The sequence below is a fragment of the Homo sapiens genome, chromosome X, assembly GCF_000001405.40.
Source record: "Homo sapiens chromosome X, GRCh38.p14 Primary Assembly".
NCBI lineage: Eukaryota > Metazoa > Chordata > Mammalia > Primates > Hominidae > Homo > Homo sapiens.
Window position 1 is genome coordinate 96,126,307 of NC_000023.11, and position 24,922 is coordinate 96,151,228.

At 34.6% G+C, this 24,922-nt stretch overlaps 1 long non-coding RNA gene across 1 annotated transcript; it reads right to left on the reverse strand.

Annotated features, from left to right (window-relative positions):
• Positions 1-1,429: 1,429 nt before the first annotated feature.
• On the reverse strand, positions 1,430-24,922 carry LOC124905234 (uncharacterized). The gene is made up of 2 exons (XR_007068364.1): positions 24,838-24,922; positions 1,430-3,772 (listed from the first exon to the last, which is right to left on the reverse strand). It is a non-coding gene; the product is annotated as an uncharacterized LOC124905234 (long non-coding RNA).

A 24,922-nucleotide genomic window follows, 5' to 3' on the forward strand; every position in this document is an offset into this window, starting at 1 on the left:
AACCAGTTCTATAAATCTAACTTGTATTTCCTAATTTAGCCACTAGTTGTCATCTACTCTTTGAGGAATCATCTCCTGAGGGAGGTGGAAACTCATATCCCAATTGGAAATGAAATTAGATTATCCTTTATGCTTCAAATATTTTGTGGCATCATAAAATAGATATTAAGTGTTCATAACTTTTCTCTTTTTCCAGAACAGAGTATGTGTATAGCATTTTGCAATTTTTAGTTTTGATTGTAAATTATCATGCTTGATTGTACAATTATCTTAACTGAATTGTTAAATATAAGAAATATTCTTTATTTATATAGGAGTATGATGATACAATGTCAAAAGACTAACAGTTTCTCTTTAGTATGGTATCTCTGGTTGTTAGATATTCAATAGAAAACTAACTGGCCTTGTGATTTCTGTGTAATGACCTAAAATAACATTTAAGGTGTGTTTAATCCCCTAAGCCTTATTTGACATTCAAGACTCAAGTTATTCTCTAGTCTGATTATTTTATGTAACCTGCTTGCTCCAAAAAACGGAACCAAAGTTGCTGAGTTTCTGTCCTTAGTCTTTTATAGTGACTTTTGCTGTGTAACACATAACCTAGGACTTCTATTCAAGAGACACGGGATCTCTTTCAACAACATTGTTCAAAAGCCCCTTCAAAAGCAAGCAATCACCACATTTTGATTCTTCTTCCGTTGTACGCATGGATTTGTCCTTCAGAGCATTTCTCTATAGTGGCCACCTTTCCTTCATGTTTTCATCACCTCATAATTGGATTACTATAATATACTCATAATTAAAATTTTCTTCTGGTCTACAAACAATTAAAATCCACTTTGAGTTTAGATATCTAATAAAATACAAGATGTCCAGTTAAATCTGAATTTAAGAGAAATGAAAAATAAGTTTTATATAAGTATGTCCTAAATATTACATGGGATATATTTATACTAAAAAGTATTTATTCTATGAAATTCAAATTTGCATTGGAGTCATGCATTTATATTTGCTAAACTTGGCATCTCAGTGAGCCAGGAATTAATCTTTATTGTATCACAAATGGTAAGAATCCATCCTTTCCACAGAAATCCAGAGAGCAGTAATAAATTCAGTGTGAATAGAAGAGATAGGAGCCTCTGAAGTAATATGAAAACTATCCAATTTCTTATGACCTTTGCATCTGGTAAGGAAGTGCTGATAGCACCATAAAGCTAGGCTGTCCATAAAGGTAGGGGAAGTATGTAATTATGTACTTTTTGCTATTTGAGAAGCTCTTAGAAATCTTACCTACTCTGTAATATTCTCCCAATCTCCTCTCCATGCATCCCCTTTGAAAAATGCGAATATTTCTGGGAAGGTTAATATTTTATATACCTGAAAAAAAAGACTTCTGAGAGGAATAACATAATATACACCTTAGAGAGAATATATTTCATCAGGTGCTTTTTTATTAGACTAAAAGTACAGGGAAGCAGTAAAGCATGGGATACTGGGCTGGGCAAGTGGGGTGAGAACATCTAGGAAAGGTAAGAAATGGTAGAGCAAGATAAGATAAAACTGAGAAAGGCATAAACTTAGACAAGCCCAAGCTGTGGTCCTGTCATCAAACCAAGTCAAAAAAACACATAGCTTTGTTTTATGAGAGGCAGTACCTCAGTAATAAAGAGTGTAGACTCTGAAACCACACTACCTAGGATTGAATCTCAAATCTGCCTCTATTATAAAACAAGAATAATATTAGTACCCATCATATGGGGTTTTGTGACTGTGAGATAAGATGATAAATGCAAAGTACTTCTAAGAGTGCCTGGCACATAGGACTTACTCTATGAGTTAGTATTTTCATTGCTATTATCATTGCCAAGTAAATTTTAAAAACTCATTGTATCTATTCTTTTTACTTATTTTTTCTAATTATTGATTTCATGAGGGTACACATCTATTCTATTTATTTATTTATTTATTTATTTATTTATTTATTTATTTATTTTTTGATGTGGAGTTTCACTCTTGTTGCCCAGGCCAGAGTGCAATGGCACGATCTTGGCTCACTGCAACCTCCGCCTGCCAGGTTCCACGGATTCTCATGCCTCAGCCTCCAGAGTAGCTAGGATTACAGGCATGCGCCACCACGCCCAGCTAATTTTGTATTTTTAGTAAAGACAGGGTTTCACCATGTTGGTCAGGCTGGTCTCAAACTCCTGACCTTAGGTGATCCGCCTGCCTTTGTCTCCCAAAGTGCTGGGATTATAGGCATGAGCCACTGCCCCCGGCTATTCAGTTAATTTAATGGACTAAAACACCTTATAGTCACTTTGCTGAGAGAAAAGAAGAGTAACAAGGAAAATATTTGCCTCCAGTATCATCTTCAGAGCATTTCATCCCCCAACCTCCAGATCCTCAGAGTTTAGCAGAGATAGTTTGGTGAAGTGAACACTCATACTGGTCACAGTCTCCCAAATTGGTCTCTTTCAATATTCTTAAAAGATACAATGTTGGCATGGCCATTATTAAAACTACAGTGAAAAGCCCTTAGAGCAATCCATTGGGAATAACATCCTTTAGATATATAGCGGAGGTAATCAAAAGAGTTTCTTATCTATGTGCTAGTTTCCTCACCAAACAACAGTGCACACTGGTTTCCTTTGATGACAGAATCCTGCTTCCCGCTCATGCAAAATATTCTGGCCCTGTCCACATTGCCCAGTGTATTCTCTCCTAGTCATCAACATTTCCATCTATAGTTTTCAGTAGTTAAACCTGCATGAGCATCTGCCTCCAGGAGACAAATTCAAAGTCACTGCACAAATATGGATATATATGAAAATTAAATGCAAAGACAATAAAGGAAAGACAAACATATCATTATATGTTCTTTTGAGTTTAGCCTTTCTTGGTAAACTGGTCACGGTTTACATTCCTGGTTGTATGAGATTATGCTTAATGCATTAAAAGAAAAAATAGAGAAAGAGAAATAGGATATCATGGTTTTAAAGCTTAAAAACACTTGACTTATATCCATATCACTTTTTTTCCTTTTGGAGTCATCTTGAAATTTTTATCTTTAGGACAGAAGCTGGGATTCTAAAGCATAGTTAGAATATGTACCACTGCTTTTTTTTTTTTCTTAGAAAAGAAAGATTGTGTCAGAAAACAATAATCTTTTTGACAAATAACAAAGAATTCAGATAAGCACTGCTAACTGCTCTAGGGTGTAGCTGTACTAGACACAGGGTACGTCAAGCAGTCTGTTCTTTAAAATCACCTGCACTTCTGTCTGCATTGTCATTGATATGGCAATAGTCCATGAAGAGTTCCCAGAGAAATAAAAATTTAATATCTTAACCTGCCACTATCTCAGGACGAGGGCCCTGAGAATGACAGCTGTAATATTTCAGGAAAAATGCTCACCAGATTTTACTTCCTAATTCCCTCCTGCTTTCATATAGAACCTCATGTTTGAGATAGAACCGTCTCTGGTTAAATAAAGAGTTGAGAAGCCAGGCTTAAATTTATTTTCTGCTCAATGTGTGTCTTCTTGTACATCTTTGGTCTACTTACATAGCTTCACCGTATTTCATCAGTTTATTGATCTGTAAAAAAGCCATAACGGTGCCTATTCCTCAGTTGTATTTGGAGGTTAATTTCCTGGAGTGCTTACATGGGAAAAAAGTAGTATGATTTCCATCTTCCAAACTATACAGTGACACTTCCTGGTATGCTGTCAACTCTCTGATTCAGTCTTGATAATATGTCTCCCAAGTTGGCACTAGAGAGATATGAAAATTGAAAAGGATTCAAAATCACAACACATACCATGCTCATATAAAACATAATTTCATCCTATTTTATAACCCACCTACCTTTTATCTAAGCCTCATTATCTTTCCATTCCCCCAAAGACTGAATTTTCTACATCCAATCTCCATGCTGCACTAATCATTCTTTGCAACCTACCAAAATACAAAGCATGTTATAATTTGCTATGTAATTCTGCAGTTGATATTTCCTACACAGTTTGTCACCTCTCCCAGGTCTCTGCATCCTCACTCTTTATGTATGGTTTCCATCTGCTGCTCCTCCTTACACCTCATCAATAAAGATCCATGATTTTGGAAGTTATAGGTTCTAGAAATCCCTCATCCCATAAACTCTGCTTTGGTTAAAAAAAAAAGACAATTTGCACACATTGTTCATTGAAGGTCATTATTTTTTATTGAAAATCTACTTTTTGCACACTGTGTTGCCTGAAAGGCACAGAAAAAGCTTATAAGAGAACAGTGATAGATAATCATTTGATATGGCTATCAAATGATTATAAGTTTTGTGCACATTGTAATGAAATTATACGAATATATCTATGTGTCATTTGTTTTTATGGTATCAAAAAACTTTTGAAAAATATATATTATCTACTCCATGACTATGCCCTAAAAGAAGAGAAATGGGTTTTGTAAAGGGATTTGGGGTCTTACTACATATCCAGACTTTCAACCAATCTTCTTGTTTCTATTTACCCCAAACCAGTAAAATCTGCCTTCAGAGTTTCTTAGTCCCTTCAGTTTCTAAACATAAGCCTTCCTAAGCCTTTCTATTGTGTTATAGGAATTTACTTCTCCCTCTGCGGATATTTAAATTTTAACTATTCCTCCTCTGTTACATAAATAACTATACATCCATTTACTTTCTGTCTTCTAAAATGTGTAGATATGTCTAGTCTTCTGAGTTTCCTCTCCCATTCTCTTTGTCCTTGTGGTTTTATACCTTTTTAGTTGCTTGTATTGTCATACTCTTAAGAGCTTCAAGAAGTGGCTTGGATAAACACATGTGTTTACCTAAAAGTCCCATTGAAGTACTTTAGTTAGGGGAGATATATGATCAGATATACATTCCATAAAAGATAACTCAGGCAGTGTTATGGACAGAATGATTTTCAGGAAGGCAAGACTGGAGATAAGAAAAGCTGGAAGAGATGAGTAAAGACTGAACTAAAGTTGTAGCAGTGAGTATACGGAGGAGGCGCCATATATTAAAAATGCTAAGGAGGTAGAATCACTAGGAAGTGATTTTGAAATGAATGTAAAAGTTTATATCTCTATCACAATGGAACTAGCAAAGGGAAAACAAGCTTAGGTATGCAGTTAGAAACACCCAGTAGACAGTGGACTATACATAACAGAAATTCTGTGGAGAGGTATAGGCTGGAAATACAGATTTGGGAGCCATTCAAATAGATATGCTATAACTTGTCAGAAACACACTTCCACCAAATTAATACTAAAAATAGTTATTAACTAGAGATAAGATTTTGTTATAGTTCAGTGACTTTAGATCTTTCTGAAGTGTGACACACACAAACATACACACACACACACACACACACACACACACACATATATATAACGTGCATATCGTCATCATTTTAGGAAAGCATTCTCAAATGCATATAAAATTATTATGCCTATCACACATAATTTTGTATATAAACAACATCATCTAATACTACTCTCAACATATTTTATAATTAGGTGGGTTGGACAGTATCTGACTGTCATGACATTGATCACCAGGTTTGATTCTGGGCATCTAACTTGCTAGGTATAGTTCACGCCTTCCTCATTTCTCTAAATATGTCTCTCCCAAAGATAAGTCCTCACAAAAAATAAATAATCAAGTTGAAATTTAATTATGATTATATGTCAATCTTTTTATGGCAGTAAAATAACTGCATAGTCCTACTGGTCTTTGCTCTAATATTGTTTAAAAAGATTGGGAAAAAGACACATCTTTTATGCTGTATAAATTCCCATTTCTGCCATGCTTATGAAAACATTTTTTTTCCTTCAAGCAGAAACAATAAACAAATTCCATATTTTTCCGACAAGGGGTGGATTCTTCCATTTTACTTATTATTGTTATAAAGCATAAAGCACATTCATGTTCCAAAAAAAAGCTTTTATTTTGTTATAAATAATATGCCATCTTTGAGAGTGAAGAAATATAAATTATACCATTAGAAAATAGTGTAGGCTGGGAGTAGCGGCTCCTGCCTTAATCCCAGCACTTTGGGAGGCTAAGGTGGGAGGATGGCTTGAAACCAAGAGTTCGAGACCAGACTGGGCAAACTGCATTTCTACAAAAAAAATACAAAAATTAGCCAGGTGTGGTGGTGGTGCTCACCTCTAGTCCCAGCTACTCAGGAGGCTGAGGCAGAATGTTCCCTTGAACCCAGGAAGTTGAGGTTGCAGTGAGCCATGATTGCACTCCTGCACTCCAGCCTGGGTGACAGAGCAAAACCTAGTATAGAACCTCCATTAATCTGCAAATTATAAATTTTTATCTCTGAACAGAAATTACCTTCTGGCAAAATTCAGTAACATACATTCATCTCCTATTATTGTCTTTCTTCTCTCAAATAGCCTTTTAAGGAAAAGATCTTTTAATATAAACGGATTCAGTTAAATTATATTAGAATCTGCATAAAGAAAAGTATGCTTATTCACTTTTGATTATAGTCATCGTTAAGTTTTCATGTTGGTGCTTTTGTTTTGGCAAGTTCACTGTCAGGAGCCCCCAGGTTCAGCTGTGCAACAAGCAGCTTCACAACTCACTGTCTCCCATGGAGATTCTATGCAGTAGAGAAAACTAATGGTAATTTGTTATCTTTACAAGCTCAAGAGTAGATGCTTGTGTCAAAGTCTTGGATTCTTGTCTCTGTCAATATTTCATGATAAAAGTAAAGGTGATATTGAGTGTTTCTACAGGGTTAGGATCAAAGTTGTCTCCTGATGATCCTTACTTTCCTGTATATTTTGGCCTCAAAAACATCATTTCCCCAAATTCCAGCATCCTAGCACGTGATAGTAAGTGATTGTTTATACATAAAATACCCAATAAGCATTTTTATCAGGATTATATATTTTTATCCCTTTGGGGGTCTTTTGCTTTTTTCTCCAAGCATGTACTTCAAAGAGACAACTATTCCACCACACTAGGAAACTTTCCTTTTTCCTTCATTTCCTTCCTTCCTCTTTCTTTTCACCTCACGATTTGCCTGTTTGCAATGTTCTATTTGTCCAGCTAACGGAGATTTTAATTACACAAAAGTACCACTTCAACTATGAGTTCCAATTAAAATTATGAATTCCAAACTATCCATGATTCACCAAGTTCATTAACCTGATTGATTTGAAAATAAATGTTTAAAATCATTTCCAAATGGTGCTATGCACGACAAACATAGTCATACTTGGTCGAAACGAATTTGGCAGCATATACAATTCTTGGCACCAACATATTTACTCCCCCAGCCCCCTATTCACTGAAGAACAACAAAATGTTATTTTGCTGCTAAAGGCACAGAATTATTATCTTTCAAGTGTCAAACTGATGTCATAGTTAAGTACTGAGGTATAAATATGAGTATAGTTTACTTACAAGTATGCATAGCTAACAGGTCTTGTTAAGTGCACACTTTACTGTGTTTTCTCTATAAATTTTCTATAAACTCATATATGCAGATCCTAATTAATCCAGAGACTTGTGGATACGTGAATTCATAGTATACTAGCATCACAATTCATAGAAAAGGCACAGGTGAGAAAACATAGCCCAGAAGGCTGAAATTCTTTGGCTAAAGTCCCACTCTCTTGCATGTAAAACTAAATCATTCTCTTTATATATGTTTATTTACTGGGGTGTTATGCTCTAGAGAAAGAAGAAAATAAAATGAAAATCACTTGTTCTGAGTGCAGTGTTGATGATTAAAGTACTAAGATTAAAAGAAGCCTATACCCACAATAGGATCTGCCATTTGTTCATTTTACAAAACCAAATATTATTCCTTTCTTGTTTCTCTAACACCAAACACACAAACACAGGTTGAAAGAGCAGGATTAGTATTTCTGCTGTAAGCACTCATTACAAACCTGAATTTTCATTAAAATGTATGCCTAGGCTGCAATTTAACACCTATAATTATCTTCATCCTTTTGCAGATAAGGCAGGAGGATTTGAAGGGTTTGAAAAAGACCTTTTTTAAAATAGCCAGAAAAAAATTACAGTGAAACACTTCTCTTTCATCAGGGTATAACTGATCAAATATTTTCTAATCCATTTCCTAAAGGAAAGCTACTGCTGCTCATTAGAAAATGTGGTCTTATTTTTTACTCATAGTTGAAAAGTCAAAGACAAGAACTATGAATAGAATTTGAATTAAGACTTACAGATACAAGTAAACAAACTCTGAAAATAATAGCTAGAACTATATACATAGCTGGCCCAAGGCAAAATTGTGAAGTAAGTGAAGCCTAATTTCAGTACTAAAAAAAAATGCGAATGTGTCTGAACCAATGCTTGGCACATAGCAATCACTTGCTAAAATTTCCCCTAGGCTCTTTATTCCTATTCTTTCAGTGTTTTTTGTTTGTTTGTTTGTTTGTTTTTATTCACAGATATCTTTGTACCATCATCCAGGTACCTCCATAGTATCTTTATGCTGAATGCCCTTACCATTCTCCAGCTAATCAAACTCATTCTCACCAGATAATGTCCTGTATTCTTTCTCGGAAAATCTCTTTCCAATAGGTTTTTTGTTGGAAAAGATCTGATCAATTAATTCTCACTTAAGGATTAATAACACTTCATTACTTAATACATTATCCCTCCCAGAGCTATTAGCATCTTTAAGGGTACCATCAAATCTCCACATCAGAAGAGTGATTAATGATTATTGCAAGCACCAGCAGGGAGCTCTTGGGGAGTATAATTGTGTTATTGTAAAGTACATCATTTTAAGTTTCCTCTATCTATGCTCATGGACAGCAATACATTCCAGAGGGCCTTTAAAACATTAAATATGTATCTTAGGATGTACAGATATAGTATCTCTTATCCAAAATACTTGGGACCAGAAGTGTTTCAGATTTCAGATTCTTTTCAAGTTTGGGGATATTCGTATATACGTAATGAGATATCTTGGGGATGGGGCCCAAGTCTAAACACAAAATTTACTTATGTTTTATACTCACCCCATACACATAGACTGAAGGTAATTCTACACAATATTTTAATTAATTTTGTGCACCCATCACATGAGGTCAGGTGTGGAATTTTCCACTTGTGACATCATGTTGGTATTCAAAAACTGTTGGATATGGAACATTTTGGATTTTGGATTGTTGGATTAGAGATGCTCAACCTGTAATAAAAGACTAAACTAACACTGCACAGGTACATTCAAACAGTAAAATATGTCATATATTCCTTCTCCTCATCCTTTGGGGTAAGCAGAGGTAGACTTTAAGTGTTTCTATTCCCTGACTCCTCCCCCACTTCTGAAAGTGCTGTTAACAGTAATCCTGTTAATAGCTGCCTCTGTAGCCAATAAGCTTCCTTATTTAAGATATGTGCAAAAATTTGCTAACTTCATGGTTTGAGGAATGCTCTCAAAGTTGCAGTAACTAAAGTTTCCATTGACCTCACTGAAACATGAGACTCACTAGCTTCACACCACTCTAATTAACACCCACACTATTTCCTGAGAAAACTGATTGTACTTCCAACTTAATCAGGCTTCTGGCAATAGAAATGGTAAACATAAAAAGTAATGTCTAAAAACTGATTTTAAAAGAGCCTCTTTCTTTTTCTCGTGATTTGCCTGCATGAAACAGAAATTATTAGTAACTATTTTTTTTTCCTGGTTCAAGTGACTCCTTTTCATTATATCATTATACCTTTGCTTGGGCTGTTTCTTCCACTGTCAAGGCCTCCTCACTCCCATGACTTAGTCAATTCAGCCTGTCAAAGCACCCAATAACCATGAAGATAACTGCTTACCTGCACCAGCATCTTTCATGCCATACAGATTCTGTGTTCTAAGATAAGCTAAGGTGCCCTTTTAATGCTCACTATATACCATGTTTCTCATTTCTTTGTTACAGCATCCTGTGAGTTACATAATATTATCCTCATTTTACACAGATGGGACTCAAAGAGGTTAAGTCATTGATCAAGGTTATGCAACTAGTAACATGTAGATCCCAGATTAAAACCCTGGATGGTCTAACTCTGTCTGTCTACATGACCTACACAAATGGTCGTTCTCCTACCAGTTGAATCCCCCTAGTCTTTGCTCCATCCTTGTCCACATATTCATCTTTCTCAAATGTTCTCATTCATTTAAATTAGCCAAATCCTGACCCAGCTGGATCTAGAGATAACGTAATGAAGGTAATTTACTTTCCTCGCTGCCCCAAGTGACTTGTAGAGAGTTTTGAAGAGGCACAGACTAAACAGAGGGACCTCAAGAGTTATAACAAAGAGACTCGTTCACTTGCTTTTTTGCTAAGGTGGGCAGTTGAAGTGATATCAATATGGGCAACTGGTACTCCAATGTGCAAGCAGCCTAGAAGGTCAGGAGGAAAAGGGTGTGCAAGGCAGTGAAGCATTTCCCTGGTACTGTCAGACAGATAAATGTGGTTTTCATGGACCAAACACTAAGGCTAAATTGGCCAGAATTTTAACTTTTTATGCGCATAATTTACTATCACATAGATATGTCTCTACACTGGATAAGCCCATGTGCAAGGAAAAAAAAAACTAAGATCCACTTGTTAAAAGTAAAAAGATAACATCTCAAAAATTTTACACCTAAATGAATAAACTAAAGCAGGAATCATCTTTATCACAGGCAATAATATAAAAAGTGGTCTTCTCATTATTAATTTTTCCTTTTGTTCCTTCTTTTCCCTCATGTCTTCTATTTTTCTGAAGATTACACTGAATGCAACAATATCATTCTCAGAATATGCTGTTTTCTAGTTTTAGAGCACTTTTCCAGGAAACCTGTACAACATTGTTCCTGTGTGGCTAATGCATTCACTCTGATGAGGATCTCTCAGCAGCGTTGTCCTCATGACCAGTTGAAAGTAATTTTTCACAAAGTTGGGTTCTAGTCATGTCATTATGGAGAACCCCATATGCAGTCTGATATGGCTTGGATTTGTGTCCTCACCCAAATATCATGTCAAATTATAATCCCCAATGTTGGAAGAGGAGCCTGATGGTAGATGATTGGGTCATGAGGTGGTTTCTAATGGTTTAACACCATCCTACTTGGTGCTGTTCTCATGATAATGAGAGAGTTCTCAAGAGATCTACTTGGTTAAAAGTGTGTAGCACTCCTCCCCCTCTCTCTCTTCCTCCTGTTCCAGCTATGTAAGATGTGCCTGCTTCCCCTTCACCTTCTGCCATGGTTGAAAGTTTCCTGAGGCCTCTCCAGAAGCGGTCATGCTTCCTATACAGCCTGTGAAACCATGAGCAAATTAAACCTCTTTTCTTTATAAATTACCAAGTTTTACACAGATCAGCTGTCCGAATATAGAAAAACAACCTAAAGTTTCTCCACCATTGAAAAACTTCTATATGGCACACTCTTCCTATACAATTTGTTAGACTAAGTAAGAAGAGGTACAAGGCAGCTTAATAAGCAAAAATTAGATTACATAATTTTTGCACTCTATTGGTCTCTGTACTAGCCTCCAAGTCTCCAGAATTGTCATCTGATGCCAGACATCCAACATACCCTTGTAGACTCTTATAGAGTACCACTTCTGTTTTTTACTGAACTATCAACTCAGGTGTGGGGTCACTCATCCTCAATATTCATAAAAGGAGACAAAAGCCTAAGGGTATGGGGACATGGAGAAAGTGCTCATTAAATAAAGTTTCTCTCTGTTTTGACATACGTGGTTAACATTGCTTATTTTGTCCCTCGATTTGACTTGTTACCTTTTCTTTCGGATTATAACTCTACTTCTGCATTCCCTGGTTCTAGGTTTTTGAATAGTGTCTCTTCTTGGCATGCTCTTAACTCTGACCCATTCATTTTCATCAGAACATCAGAACCTGGCCTGCATGTCAGATTATTTATCCTTTTATAGTAAATCTTAAAAGTAGGTAGGGTATATTATTCTGAATTAAGGACAGAAAGAGAAAAAAAATGTTAATAGTTGGAGGGTATGGGTAGGCATGTGGGCAGGTTAAAGGAGACAAGGAAAATTGCAATTGCTTGTGCTGTCAATATGGCAACCATTTTGGAGATAAACAAATGAGAATCATGTTATCTTTCAAATCAATGCCATGGTCAAAATGTATAGGTGCCTTAGCAACAGAATTTTCCTTCAACTCTTTCAATAATTGCTTCATTGCTGAATTTACCTGTTCATGACTGTCTTCACAGATTATTTTTTCAGCTCAAGGTGGAAACATTGTAAGATCTTTTCTACCTAGAGATGTCTTTTCTTCATTAGACCACTTTATATGAATAACAAATAGTAGATATATGCTTTTTATTTGAGATAATTTTAGTATCAATTCTGAAAATATTATTGTCAATGCTCATATGTTAATCAGTCATATAATTGTCTGATCAGAGAATTATTTTTCTGTAAATGAAAATTCAACATAATAAGCATCTATTGAGTGCTTATTTATATGATAGATACTGTGATACAGACACCATTGTTTCACCACATACACCAGTCAGATGGAGGTAATGTGGAGAGGACATTTATATCCATTACACAGAGCAGCTATTTATATGGCTCAAGAGACAGAAGAGTGGCATATTGACTCTATCTTAATATATACTTTTATGATCATTGTACTATAAATATCTCAGGGGAATTATTATTAAAGTAGTGTAGCTACCTCCTTTTACCATGTATAGAGTAAGATAATCAGTTTGGAAAATGAAAACTTTAAAAAGCAGATGCTCATAGATATGTGAGTTAAACAAGGTCATATGACCTGCACAAGGTCATGAGAAAAGCTTGACTGAATGAAAATTAGGGAAGTTATATATGCTTCTCACACATCCTAAAGCACAAGACTAGAATGTCTCAAAGTTCTGTCATCACTTTAAAAATTTACTTACCCTTTTCTAACGCCATTTCTTTTGGGGAAACATATGTTCCTTAAACTTTGGGCAAATGATTAAAGAGGTTAGCTTTTTGGGGTATTATGTTGTTTTTATTTTATTTTATTTTGAGACAGAGTCTTGCTCTGTTGCCAGGCTGGAGTGCAGTGGCGCAATCTCGGCTCACTGCAACCTCCGCCTCCCGGGTTCAAGCGATTCTCCTGCCTCAGCCTCCCAAGTAGCTGGGACTGCAGGCGCACGCCACCACACCCAGCTAGTTTTTGTATTTTTAGTAGAGACAGTGTTTCACCATGTTGGCTAGAATGGTCTCAATCTCTTGACCTCATGATCCGCCCACCTCGGCCTCCCAAAGTGCTGGGATTATAGGCGTGAGCCAACATGCCGGGCCAAGAGGTTAGTTTTATTAAATGCAAACATAAATTAGTCAGGTTTTCTAAGTGAAAACCAATGTAATATATTATTCTTTTACTTAATTTCATCATAATTCAGTTTTAGTATATTATTTAATGGAAATAATTAAACACAATAGCAGACCCATCTATCATAGGCTGCCTCAGAAAACATTTAGTTGTAATGGAGACCTGTAGGGGCTATTAAAATGCTCCACAAACAGATGGAAAGAGTAAAAGGTGCAGCCAAAAGATAAAGTACCATTAATAAGATCTTCAGTGGGATAAATATTGACGGGAAGATGATTCCAGCAAATCCTGATAGTAAAATAAAAAAATACATTCCTACTCAAGAAAATTAATCAGTATTATGTTGGTGATATATTCACTAGGCCCTGATATTCTTCCCCCCTCCTTTTTTAAAAGCAAAATCAAAAGCCAGGCAATTTTGACTTCAAATTCTTAAGTTATGTATAATGAATCTACTTTGCAATTATTCAAAAGTGTTACACATAAGGTCACAAAATCCCCCCAGAAAAATCTGCAAACACTACTTAATTGGGTGAATCAGTGTTGTCCACCTACTTCAAACAGCTTCATATATATTCAAATACTACTTCCTTTTCTTGTAATAAAAATAAGAAAATTAAGGAAGATTTCAGAGTAAGCTGGAAAGAGTGTAAGCTAAAGTAAAATTGAAAAACAAAGACATATAAAAACTGATTATGTGGCTCCTATATTATGAATACTATCAGAACCCAAGGTATCATATGCTATTTGATATAAATTACAATAATCATTGCTACAATAGATAAGAGATTACAGAATAAAATAAAACCTATCTAAAAAAAAAGGCTACAGCTATATAACACCAGACATTGTAAATTTCCTTATAGGTAATGAAGTAAATGAGAATGGTGGGATTCTGACTGTGCTACCAGAATTTGTTTTGAAGTTGCTCAGTTTAATTAAACAGTGACTAGGTGTTGAGTATCACTGTGAGCAAAAAAGCCCTGAGCTACATATTGTGACAGACACTACTAAAGATGAATAAATTAGTGTCTGCTTTCAAAGATCTTTTATTGTTAGACTGGATCAAGGTGAAAAAGATAAGAAATATACACAAATAATTACATAATTAAGCAAATCAGAATTAATGGCCAAGAATAGCTACAAAATACTTTTGCAAATGTAAATATACAAAACGAGTTGACATCCTACCATACATTAAAATGTGTTATTGTACTGGGTAGTTATTCCTGAATAGTAAGCAACCATAAAAATCTTAGTGGCATTTATTTAGCTCACATTTCTGTGAGTCAGTTAGTGTTTATCTAATCTAGACTAGTCTAGGCTATTTTACTTTGTGAATATTGACTGGGATTTCTTAAATATTTGTGGGTTGACTAAGAGTCAGATAACCTAGGCTAAGCCTAGCTGGGGTGGCTTGGCTAAGATAGCTCTTCTCTATATGTCTTTCATCCTCCTCCTGGGTCTAGTAGGGTACCCTAAGCAAGTTTTTCTTATAGCAATTGCTGAACTGAAAGAGAGTAAGCCCAACTCTGGAAGCACTTTTCAAATCTCTGTTTGCACCACATTTTGTAAAATCATGTTGGCCAAAGCAAGTCACATGGCCAGCCTAGATATAAGTGGGAAGAGGGCACCGCAAAGTTCATGGCAAAAGATGTGAATAAAAAATCTTATTATTGGGGAGAGACTAAAGATTTGAAATACACCAGTCTACCACATGTATAGCTTTAAAACATAGTGAGATAGGTGAAAAAATTGGCAAGAATATCATTAAAACAGCATGATAGGCCAGAATAAGACACTAAAATATCAACCAAATTTATGATAAAAGTTGTTATTCAAAACCAATATGTAAAGTGAGAGTTATAAATAAAAAATGCTGGGAACTTTTTCTTACAGTGTGTAAAGATATCAAGTTGGATACTTACATCAAAATAATTCCACATGGTTTAAAAAATGAAATACAAAATTGAAACTATAACATTTAGAAGAAAATATAGGTACATAGGTAGTTATATAATTGATCTTGAAAAGGGGAAGGACTTTCTAATTTTCAAACCAAAAAAATAGATTTTAAAACATAAATAAAATGTACATAAATTTGGATGTGGTGGTTCAGGCCTATATTCTCAGCTACTCAGGAGACTAAGACAGGAGGTCACTTGCTGCCAGAAGTTCAAGACTAGCCTGGGAAACATAGTGAGACCCCATCTCTAAAAAAAATAAAATACAAATTCACCAGATGTGGTGGTGTATGCCTGTAGTCCCAGCTTCTTGGAAGACTGGCATATGAGGATCACTTGACCCCAGGAGTTTGACACTGCAGGAAGCTGTGATTAGGCCACTGCATTCCATCCTGGGCAACAAAGCAAGACCCCATCTTTAAAAAAAAAGAAAAAAGTACATTAATAGCAACAAAATTAAACAGCAAACAGAAAACAGGAAAATACTTTAAAATACAAAATTAAGAGAATGAAAGAAAAGAACTGCATAACTATCTCAACTGATGCAGAAAAAGCACTTGACAAAATCCAACACATATTCACGATAAAATACGCAAAAAACTAGGAATAGAAGGAAACTTCCTTAACACAATTAAAGACTATATGAAAAACCCACTGTTATCTTCATGCTAAATGGTGAAAGACTGAAAGATTTTCCTCTAATATCAGGAAGAAGAAAAAGTTGCCCACTTTTGCCACTTCTATTCAACATAGTACAAGAAGTTCTAGCTAGAATTTAGGCAAGAAAAAAAATTAAAAGACATCCATAATGAAAAAGAAAAAGTAAAATCATCTCTATTTGCAGATAACATGATCTTATATGTAGAAAACCCTAAAAATTCCACACCAAAATATCTTTCAGAGCCAAGAAACAAAATCAGCAAAATTACAAGATACAAAATAAAAATGCAAATATCAGCTGCATTTCTTACACTAACAGTGAACAATCTGGAAAAATAAATTTTAAATATAATTTAAGATAAAATCAAAAGGAATAAAATATTTAGAAATTAATTTAACCAAGGAGGTAGAATAGTTCACTAAAAACTACAAAATATTACTGGAAGTACTTAAAGAAGATCTAAATAAATAGAAAGACAACTCATGTTGATGGATTAGAAGATATAATATTGAGATGATGGTACTACCCAAAGTGATCCACAGAGTCAACATAATTCCTATTAAAATCCCAACAACACTTTTTTGAAGAAATAGAAAAACCAATACTAAAATTCATGTAGAATTTCAAGGGACCCTAAATAGCCAAAAGTATCCTGAAAAAGAACAAGTTGGAAAGACTCTCAGTTCCATATTTTAAAACTTACTCCAAAGCTGCCATAATCAAAATAGTGTGGTACTGTTATAAGACATATAGACCAATGGACTAGAATAGAGAACTCAAAAATAAACTCAAATATTCATCTTCAACAAAGGTGCCAAGATCACTCAATAGAGAAAGTACAGTCTTTTCACAAAATAGTACTGGGAAAATTGTATATTCACATGTGAAAGAATGAAGTTAAACCCTTATTTTACATTATATACAAATATTAACTCAAAATGGACCAGAAATTCAATTTTAAGAGCTATAACTATAAAATCTTTAGAAGAAAACTTAGGGAACATTTTCATGACATTGGATCTGGCAATGATTTCTTGGACATGACATCAAAAGCACGTGCAATAAAAGAAAAAAATTAATAAATTGGACTTTATCAAAATTAAAGCCTTTTATTAATCAAAAGACACTGTCAAGAAAATGAAAAGACAACACACAGAATGGGAGAAACAACTAAAACAATCACATATCCTAAAAATAATAATATCCAAAATACATGCTTTGTAAAAACTCCTACAACTCAACAACAACAACAAAAATGAACAACCCAATTCATAAATGGGCAAAACATTTGAATAGACATTTCTCCAAAGAAGATACACAAATGGCCAATAAGCACATAAAAAGATACTCAACATTGTTAGTTATTAGGGAAATGAGAAATCAAAACCACAATCAGATACAACTTCATAACCATTAGGATGGCTATTACCAAAAAACAGAAAAAAAACAAGTGTTGGTGAGGATGAGGAGAAATTTGAACACTCATTTATTGCTGGTGGGAATGTAAATGATGTAGCAGCTGTAAAAAAGATTTTGGTTCCTCAAAAAGCTAAGCATAGAATTACCATGTAATCCAGCAATTCTACTCTAAGGTATATACCCAAAAGTTCTGAAAGCAGGGATTTAGGATTACTCACAATACCCAAAAGGTGGAAACAAACAAATGTCCATCAACAGTTGAATGCATAAGGAAAATGTGGTATATACATATGATGGAATATTATTCAGCCTTAAAAATGAATGAAATTCTGATACATGCTATAACGTGAACGAACCTTGAAAATGTTATGCTAAGTGATATAAGCAATACAAAAAAAGAACAAATATTGTATGATTCCAAATATATGAGGTACTTAAGATAGGAAAATCCACAAAGACAGAAAATAGATTAGAGGTTACTAGTGGCTGTGGGGAAGTGAGGTGGGGGAGAATGGAATATTATTGCTTAATGTTCAGAGTTTCCATTTGGGTGATGAAAAATATTTGCAAACAGATGCTGGATAGTATAGTGGTGCTGGTGGTGTAACATATGAATGTAATTAATGTAATTTAATTTCGCACTTAAAATAGTTAAAATGGTAAATTTTATGTTACATGTACTTCAGCTTAATTTTTAAGATAATAATGTGATAGATATATCAACAAGCCATTGAATTATACTCTTTAAACATGTTAATTTTATGGCATGTAAATTATATTTCAATAATGCTATTTAAAAAATCAATTCACAGAATATATGTAAAGACCAATAAACATAGACTAACAGATTTATAATTTCTAGAAACCAATAAAAGGCAAATTAAAACAGAATATATATAAAGACCAATAAACATAGACTAACAGATTCATAATTTCTAGGAACCAATAACAGGCAAATTAAAACAAGAAATTATTTTACATTCATCAAACTCGTCAACAATTTTTTAACTTACTGCACTCAATATTGACAAGGGCTGAATGAATGCCCGCATAAACTACTACAAGGTGTATAAATTAGTGTAATGATCTATAAGGTAAGTCCAACAATAAGAAGGAACTTCTTTTTTTTAGGAGACTTAAAATGTCTCTCTTCACAGAAAGATAAATCATTTGACTTCCTCTTTTCCTCTCTTTGTATCCTTCAGGATACAAAATCGATGTACAAAAATCAGCAGCATTTCTATACAGCAATAACACCCAAGCTGAGAGCTAAATCAGGAATGCTACCATATTCACAACAGTCAGAAAAAGAATAAAATACTGAGAAATACAGCTCACAAGGAAGGTAAAAGATCGTTACAAAATTTACAAAACACTGCTGAAAGAAACCAGAGATGATACAAACAAAATAACATTCAGTGCTCATGAATAGGAAGAATCAATATTTTTAATATGGCCATACTGCCCAAAGCAATTTACAGATCCAATGCTATTCCTATTAAACTACCAACAACATTTTTCACAGAATTAGAAAAAAATTATTGTAAAATTAATATGGAATCAAAAAAGAGACTGCATAGCCAAAGCTACCCAAAGCTAAAAGAACAAAGCTTCAGGCATCACATACCCAACTTCAAGCTATGCTACAAGGCCACAGTAACCAAAACAGCATGGTACTGGCACAAAAACAGACATATAGACTAATGCAAAAGAATAGAGAACTCAGAAATAAAGCTGCACACCTACTAACATTCAATGCTCATGAATAGGAAGAATCAATATTGTTAAAATGGCCAATTTGACCAATTTGATGAAATAAAACTGCACACTTACTACCACGTGATCTTCAACAAAGTTGATGAAAACAAACGATGGTGAAAGGACTCCCTGTTCAATAAATGGTGCTGGGATAACCAGCTACCCATATGCAGAACATTGAAACTGGACCCCTTCCTTTCATCATATTCAAAAATCAACTCAAGATAGATTAAGACTTAAACTAAAACGTAAGACTATAAAAACTCTAGAAGATAACCTAGGAAATACCATTCTGGATATAGGCCCTGGCAATGATTTCATGACCAAGACTAAAAGCAATTACAACAAAAATAAAAATTGACAAGTAGGACCTAATTAAACTGAAGAGCTTCTGCACAGCAAAAAAAAAAAAAAAAAAAAAAAAACCATCAAGAGAGTGAACAGACAACCTACAAAATGGGAGAAAATATTTGCAAGCTATGCATCCCACAAAGGTCTACTATCTAGAATCTATAAGGAACTTAAATCAACAAGCAAAAAAAAAAAATAAAACAACTCCACATATATGGGGAACTTGAGGCTCAGGCAAGGGTAAAAAAAAATGAGCAAGTGACAGGAACAGACACTTATCAAAAGAAGAAATACCTGTGGATAACAAGCATTTGAAAAAATGTTCAACATCACTAATCATTAAAGAAGTGCAAATCAAAACTTCAGTGCAATACCATCTCCCACCAGTCAGAATGGCTATTACTAAAACATCAAAAAATCACAGATGCTGGCAAGGTTGCAAATAAAAGAGAACACTTGTACACTGCTGGTGGGAATGCAAATCAGTTCAGCTACCATGGAAAGCAGTTTGATGATTTCTTAAAGAACTTAGAACTATCATCCCACTCAGCAATCCCATTACAGGAATATAAATCATTCTACCATAAAGACACATGCAAACGTGTTCATCACAGCACTATTCATAACAGCAAAGACATGAATTCAACTCAGATGCCCATCAGCAGTGGACTGAATAAAGAAAATGTGGTACATATATGCCATAGAATACTACACAGCCATAGAAAATAATGAAATCATATCCTTTGCAGCAATATGGATGGAGCCAGAGGCCATTATCCTAAGCAAATTAATGCAGTAACAGAAAACCAAATACAACCTGCTCTCACTTATAAGTAGGAGGTAACCATTGAACACATGGACACAAAGAAGGGGACAATAGACACCCGGGCCTACCTGAGGATGGAGGGTGGGAGGAGGGTGAGGATCGAAAAACTACCTATCGGGTAGTATGCTCACTACCTGGGTGATGAAATAAGGTACATCAAACCACTGTGACAGGCAATTTACCCATATAGCAAACCTGCACATGTACCCCTGAACCTAAAATAAACGTTGGAAAGAAAAAAAAAGAAAGAAAAGTATTGTCTTGAAGGGAAATAAAGATATTTGATTAAGTATCCAAGTTACAGGTATTATATTAAAACACTTTGCATTCTGGTGAAAATAAGAGTAAGAATCCCTGATGTTTAGTTGATTTAGTGATAGTTGATTCTCTAAATTACTTGGATAATGTCAGAAAGACACTGCTCAAAAATTAGATGGAGGAATTGCTTCTTCCTAGAATATGTACTTTATTTTGATCCTTGAGAATTTTCCCTCAGCTTATATCCTAGAATAAACCTTTTCGAATGTCCTTTGTCCCTGGACTTTTCATTTATTTTACAACAGATTTCAAAAACTTTATTTCAAGTTTTTTAACATTAAATTATATTTTCAATAAACAACTCTGTTAGAGTTCTCCAGAGATACAGAACCAACAGGAGTGGTGTGTGAGTGTGTGTGTGTGTGTGTGTGTGTGTGTGTGTATGCATGGGAGTCAGCCTTTTTGTTCTATTCAGGCCCTCAAATGATTGGATGAAACCTGGTCACATTAGAGAGGACAATCTGTTTTAATCGGTCTACCTATTCAAATTTTAATCTTATCCAAAAATACCTTCGCAGACACACACAAAATAATGTTTGACAATATATCTAAGCACTCCATGGCCCAGTCCAACTGAGACATAAAATTAACTATCATAATCACAGAACATCATGTTGAGAATAAAAAAGAAGTATAGAATAAATAAAAAGGTTTTATCTTTATCAAATACTTTCTGTTTCAAAACTAGTTAAATATGGCTTGTTCTCTGTAATGCCAAACATTCCAACTTTTTTCTTTTTATTATTTTTGAAAGCATGACATATAATTTTTCATCAAGGCCAAAAGTTCCAATCTTCTGCCTGCCAAACATGCTGCTTTTTTAAAATGAGAAGCTCTTGCCAACAAAATTTTTGTTTATTTCTATCTCCTCTAACCCAACCACAGTCACTAAGCAACAAGGACAACAAATTAAAGGGTGAAGAAAGGGAGAAATGAGGAAGGAGAAAGATATGGGAATGAGGCCATAAACATAAAGAGGACCAATTTTTGATCACAGAATTCATTTCTTTTACTAGTGATTCAATTTCCTCCCAGAAAATTTACTGTGTATTTCCAAAACACTGTGCCAAGTTTGTTCCACAAATACTCAGCAGGTCATTCTAAGGGAAAGGGCATTTTAAAATAAGCAAGTCCCCTATTTTTTCAAAGGGAATAAAGCAAATAAACAAGGGAAAAATGGAAGCCTACGTTTCAGTCATACTTCATCTATATCTACTTTTGAACTGCAGTTGCACGAGTGTGTCCTTATTTGTAGATTAGAACAATCTCTCCACAGGCGATTGCTGTAATGTCTAAGAGACTGCACAGAGTTACCTCTTGTGAAGAGATGAAGTTTTACCTCAGTCTGAATTGATTTAAATTACATTCAGTTGGGAACTGGGGACATGGAACTCCTAACCACATTGACAAAGTAAAGGATTGTTTCTTTTTCATCCTCCACGTCCATTCTTACATTTGTCAATGTTTACAACAACTATCTACATAATTGCCTCAGTACTCCCCTCTCTTTTAATCAGCATGCTGTACAGTCTTAAGTATAGACACTGATTCCCTGTTTTTTAATTGCTCATCCTAATAAAGAATGAGATATGCAAGCAATCTGTAAAGCTAAAGTGAGTAAAAGGGTCTTCCAGTAATGATGGTGCAGTGGATTCATGAAAAGATGGTATCGACAGAAAAATTAGACAAAATCAGAAAAACATAGCTAGCATCAAACAGAAGATAAACATATTTATGCACCAGAAATAGAACTGGAAGGCAATGAAGTGAGCAAAGCTTTAGGCATAGGACTTCAAGATTTCAAGTCTGAAATCCAACATTGGTTTCCAGGAGTCAAGGCCATGAAGGAATAATGTGAATAAAATTGTTCTAGTCATTATAAAGTGAGAAATATAAAATATTTAGAACTTACTAATGGAAGTACTATTTGTCAAAACTTGTGGGATGCAGCTAAAAGGGTATTTGGGGCATATTTATAGCAGTAACTGCATGTATTAAAATCAATAATGATGTTTAAAAAATAAGCTATAAAAATAAGGGAATAACCCTATAGAAAATTACAGAAAGGGGGCCAGGTGCGGTAGCTCACACCTGTAATCCCAGCACTTTGGGAGGCTGAGGCAAGAAGGTAACTTGAGGCCAGGAGTTCAAGACCAGCCTGGCCAACATGGCTAAACCCTGTCTCTACTAAAAATACAAAAATTAGCTGGGCATGGTGGTGCACACCTGTATTCCCAGCTACTTAGCAGGCTGAGGAATGAGAATTGCTTGAACCTGTGAGGCAAAGGTTGCAATGAACTGAGATCATGCCACTGCCCTCCAGCCTGGGCAACAGAGCAAGATTCTGTCAAAAAAAAAAAAAAAAGAAAAGAAAAGAAGAAAAGAAAAGAAAAAAGAAAATTACAGAAGAAAGGTAAAAAAAAGTCACAGAAGCATTTAATTGAATAGAAAAAAATAATGTAGAGAAATAAAAAAGAAAACCAAAACTGATAAAAGTGTTTAGCAAGACTAATTAAGAAAAAGGTCATATATAAACAATATTAGAAACCAAAAATGAAATATAACTGCAGAGAAAATAGAGAGTTAAATAATAACATATTATGAATAGTACCATACCAACAAATTTTAAACCTTTAATGAAATGAATAATCACCTAGAAAATATAAATTACTAAAACTGACTGATGAAAATTAGAAAGCTTGAAGAAATCAATAACCATTAAATAAATTAAATCAGTAATAAAAAACCTACTTTAAAAAAAGACACTAGGCTCTGATGATTTTAACAGGTGACTTTTATCAAAAATTCAAGGGAATAAGAATCTTTATTTTATGTGAAATATTCAGAGAACAGACAAGTAAGACAAATAACTTTAAGTTACCACTTGTCGAAAAAGTTGTGGAGAAATTGGAACACTTATACTCTACTGATGGGAATATCAATAATTGCTTGTACAGAAAATTGGCAGTCTCTAGTTAATGTGAAGGTGGACATACCCTTTGATCCAACAATGCCAATCCTAGGTACAGAACAAGAGAAATTTTCACAAATTTATTTAATATCCCTATAATATTTTTTCTTTTCTCATAAAGCTGTTAGTAGTACCTAAAAAAAATAGACAGACTCTAAAAATACATCAGCAAGAGAATAGGTGTGCTAGCCCATTCTTGAATTGCTATAAAGAAATACCAGAGATTGGGTAATTTATAAAGAAAAGAGGCTTAGTTGGCTCATGATTCTACAGGCCGTATAGGAAGCATGATGCTGGCATCTTCTCTGCTTCTGAGGAGGCTTCAGGAAACGTACAGTCATGGCAGAAGGTGAATGAAAAGCAGGCATGTCTTACATGGCAGGAGCAGGAGCAAGAGAGAGAGTGATGGAGGAGGTGCTGCACACTTTTAAATAGCCAGAACTCTCAAGAACTCACTCACAATCATGAGGGATGGTGCTAAGCCATTCATGAAAAATCTGCCTCCATGATCCAGTCACCTCCCACTAGTCCCTACCTCCAACATTGGTGATTACAATTTGACATAAGATTTGGTGGGGACACAGATCCAAACCATATCAACAGGCAAACTGTGGAATATTCAAATAATGAAATAGTGTATAGAAATTAAAATTCAAGAAGTAGAGCTACTTGTATCAATATAGATTTAAGCTCAAAAACATTTTTGAGCAAAAAAAATCAGGTTGCAGAATGATACAGTTAGAATAATAATATTTATATGCAATTTATATAGAATTTTAAAACATGCAAATCAATCTTATAAATTGGTATAGATACATGCATATGTAGAAAATGGATGAAAATATATCAAGTGAAGGATGTCAATTGCCTCACGGGAATAAGTGAAGGCAATAGGAACAGGAAGGGTAACTCCAATATTTTATTTCTTTTTAAACATTTCTGAATCAAATATTTAAAAATGATAAACTTTAGTGGTTAGCACAAAGATGTCTGTTTAGTTATCTATTTCTAACAGTTTGATACATATCAGAAATTTTTAAAAGAAGGAGAACACGTTCATATGAGCTCTATATAGATCAAAGCATATTACCTGGTTCATGGGTGTACTCAATGTATTTGACGAACAGATGAATAAATAAATGAATGAACAAATTAACCTATAAAACTCTGCCATATAAATTGAACTTCTGCCACTTACTTGTCTTACCTTTTTCACCCAAAGGTTTAAACTTTAGGTTGTCCCAATGCCAGCTGGAATACACCCTGTCTTTCAGAGGCACTCTAATTGAAGG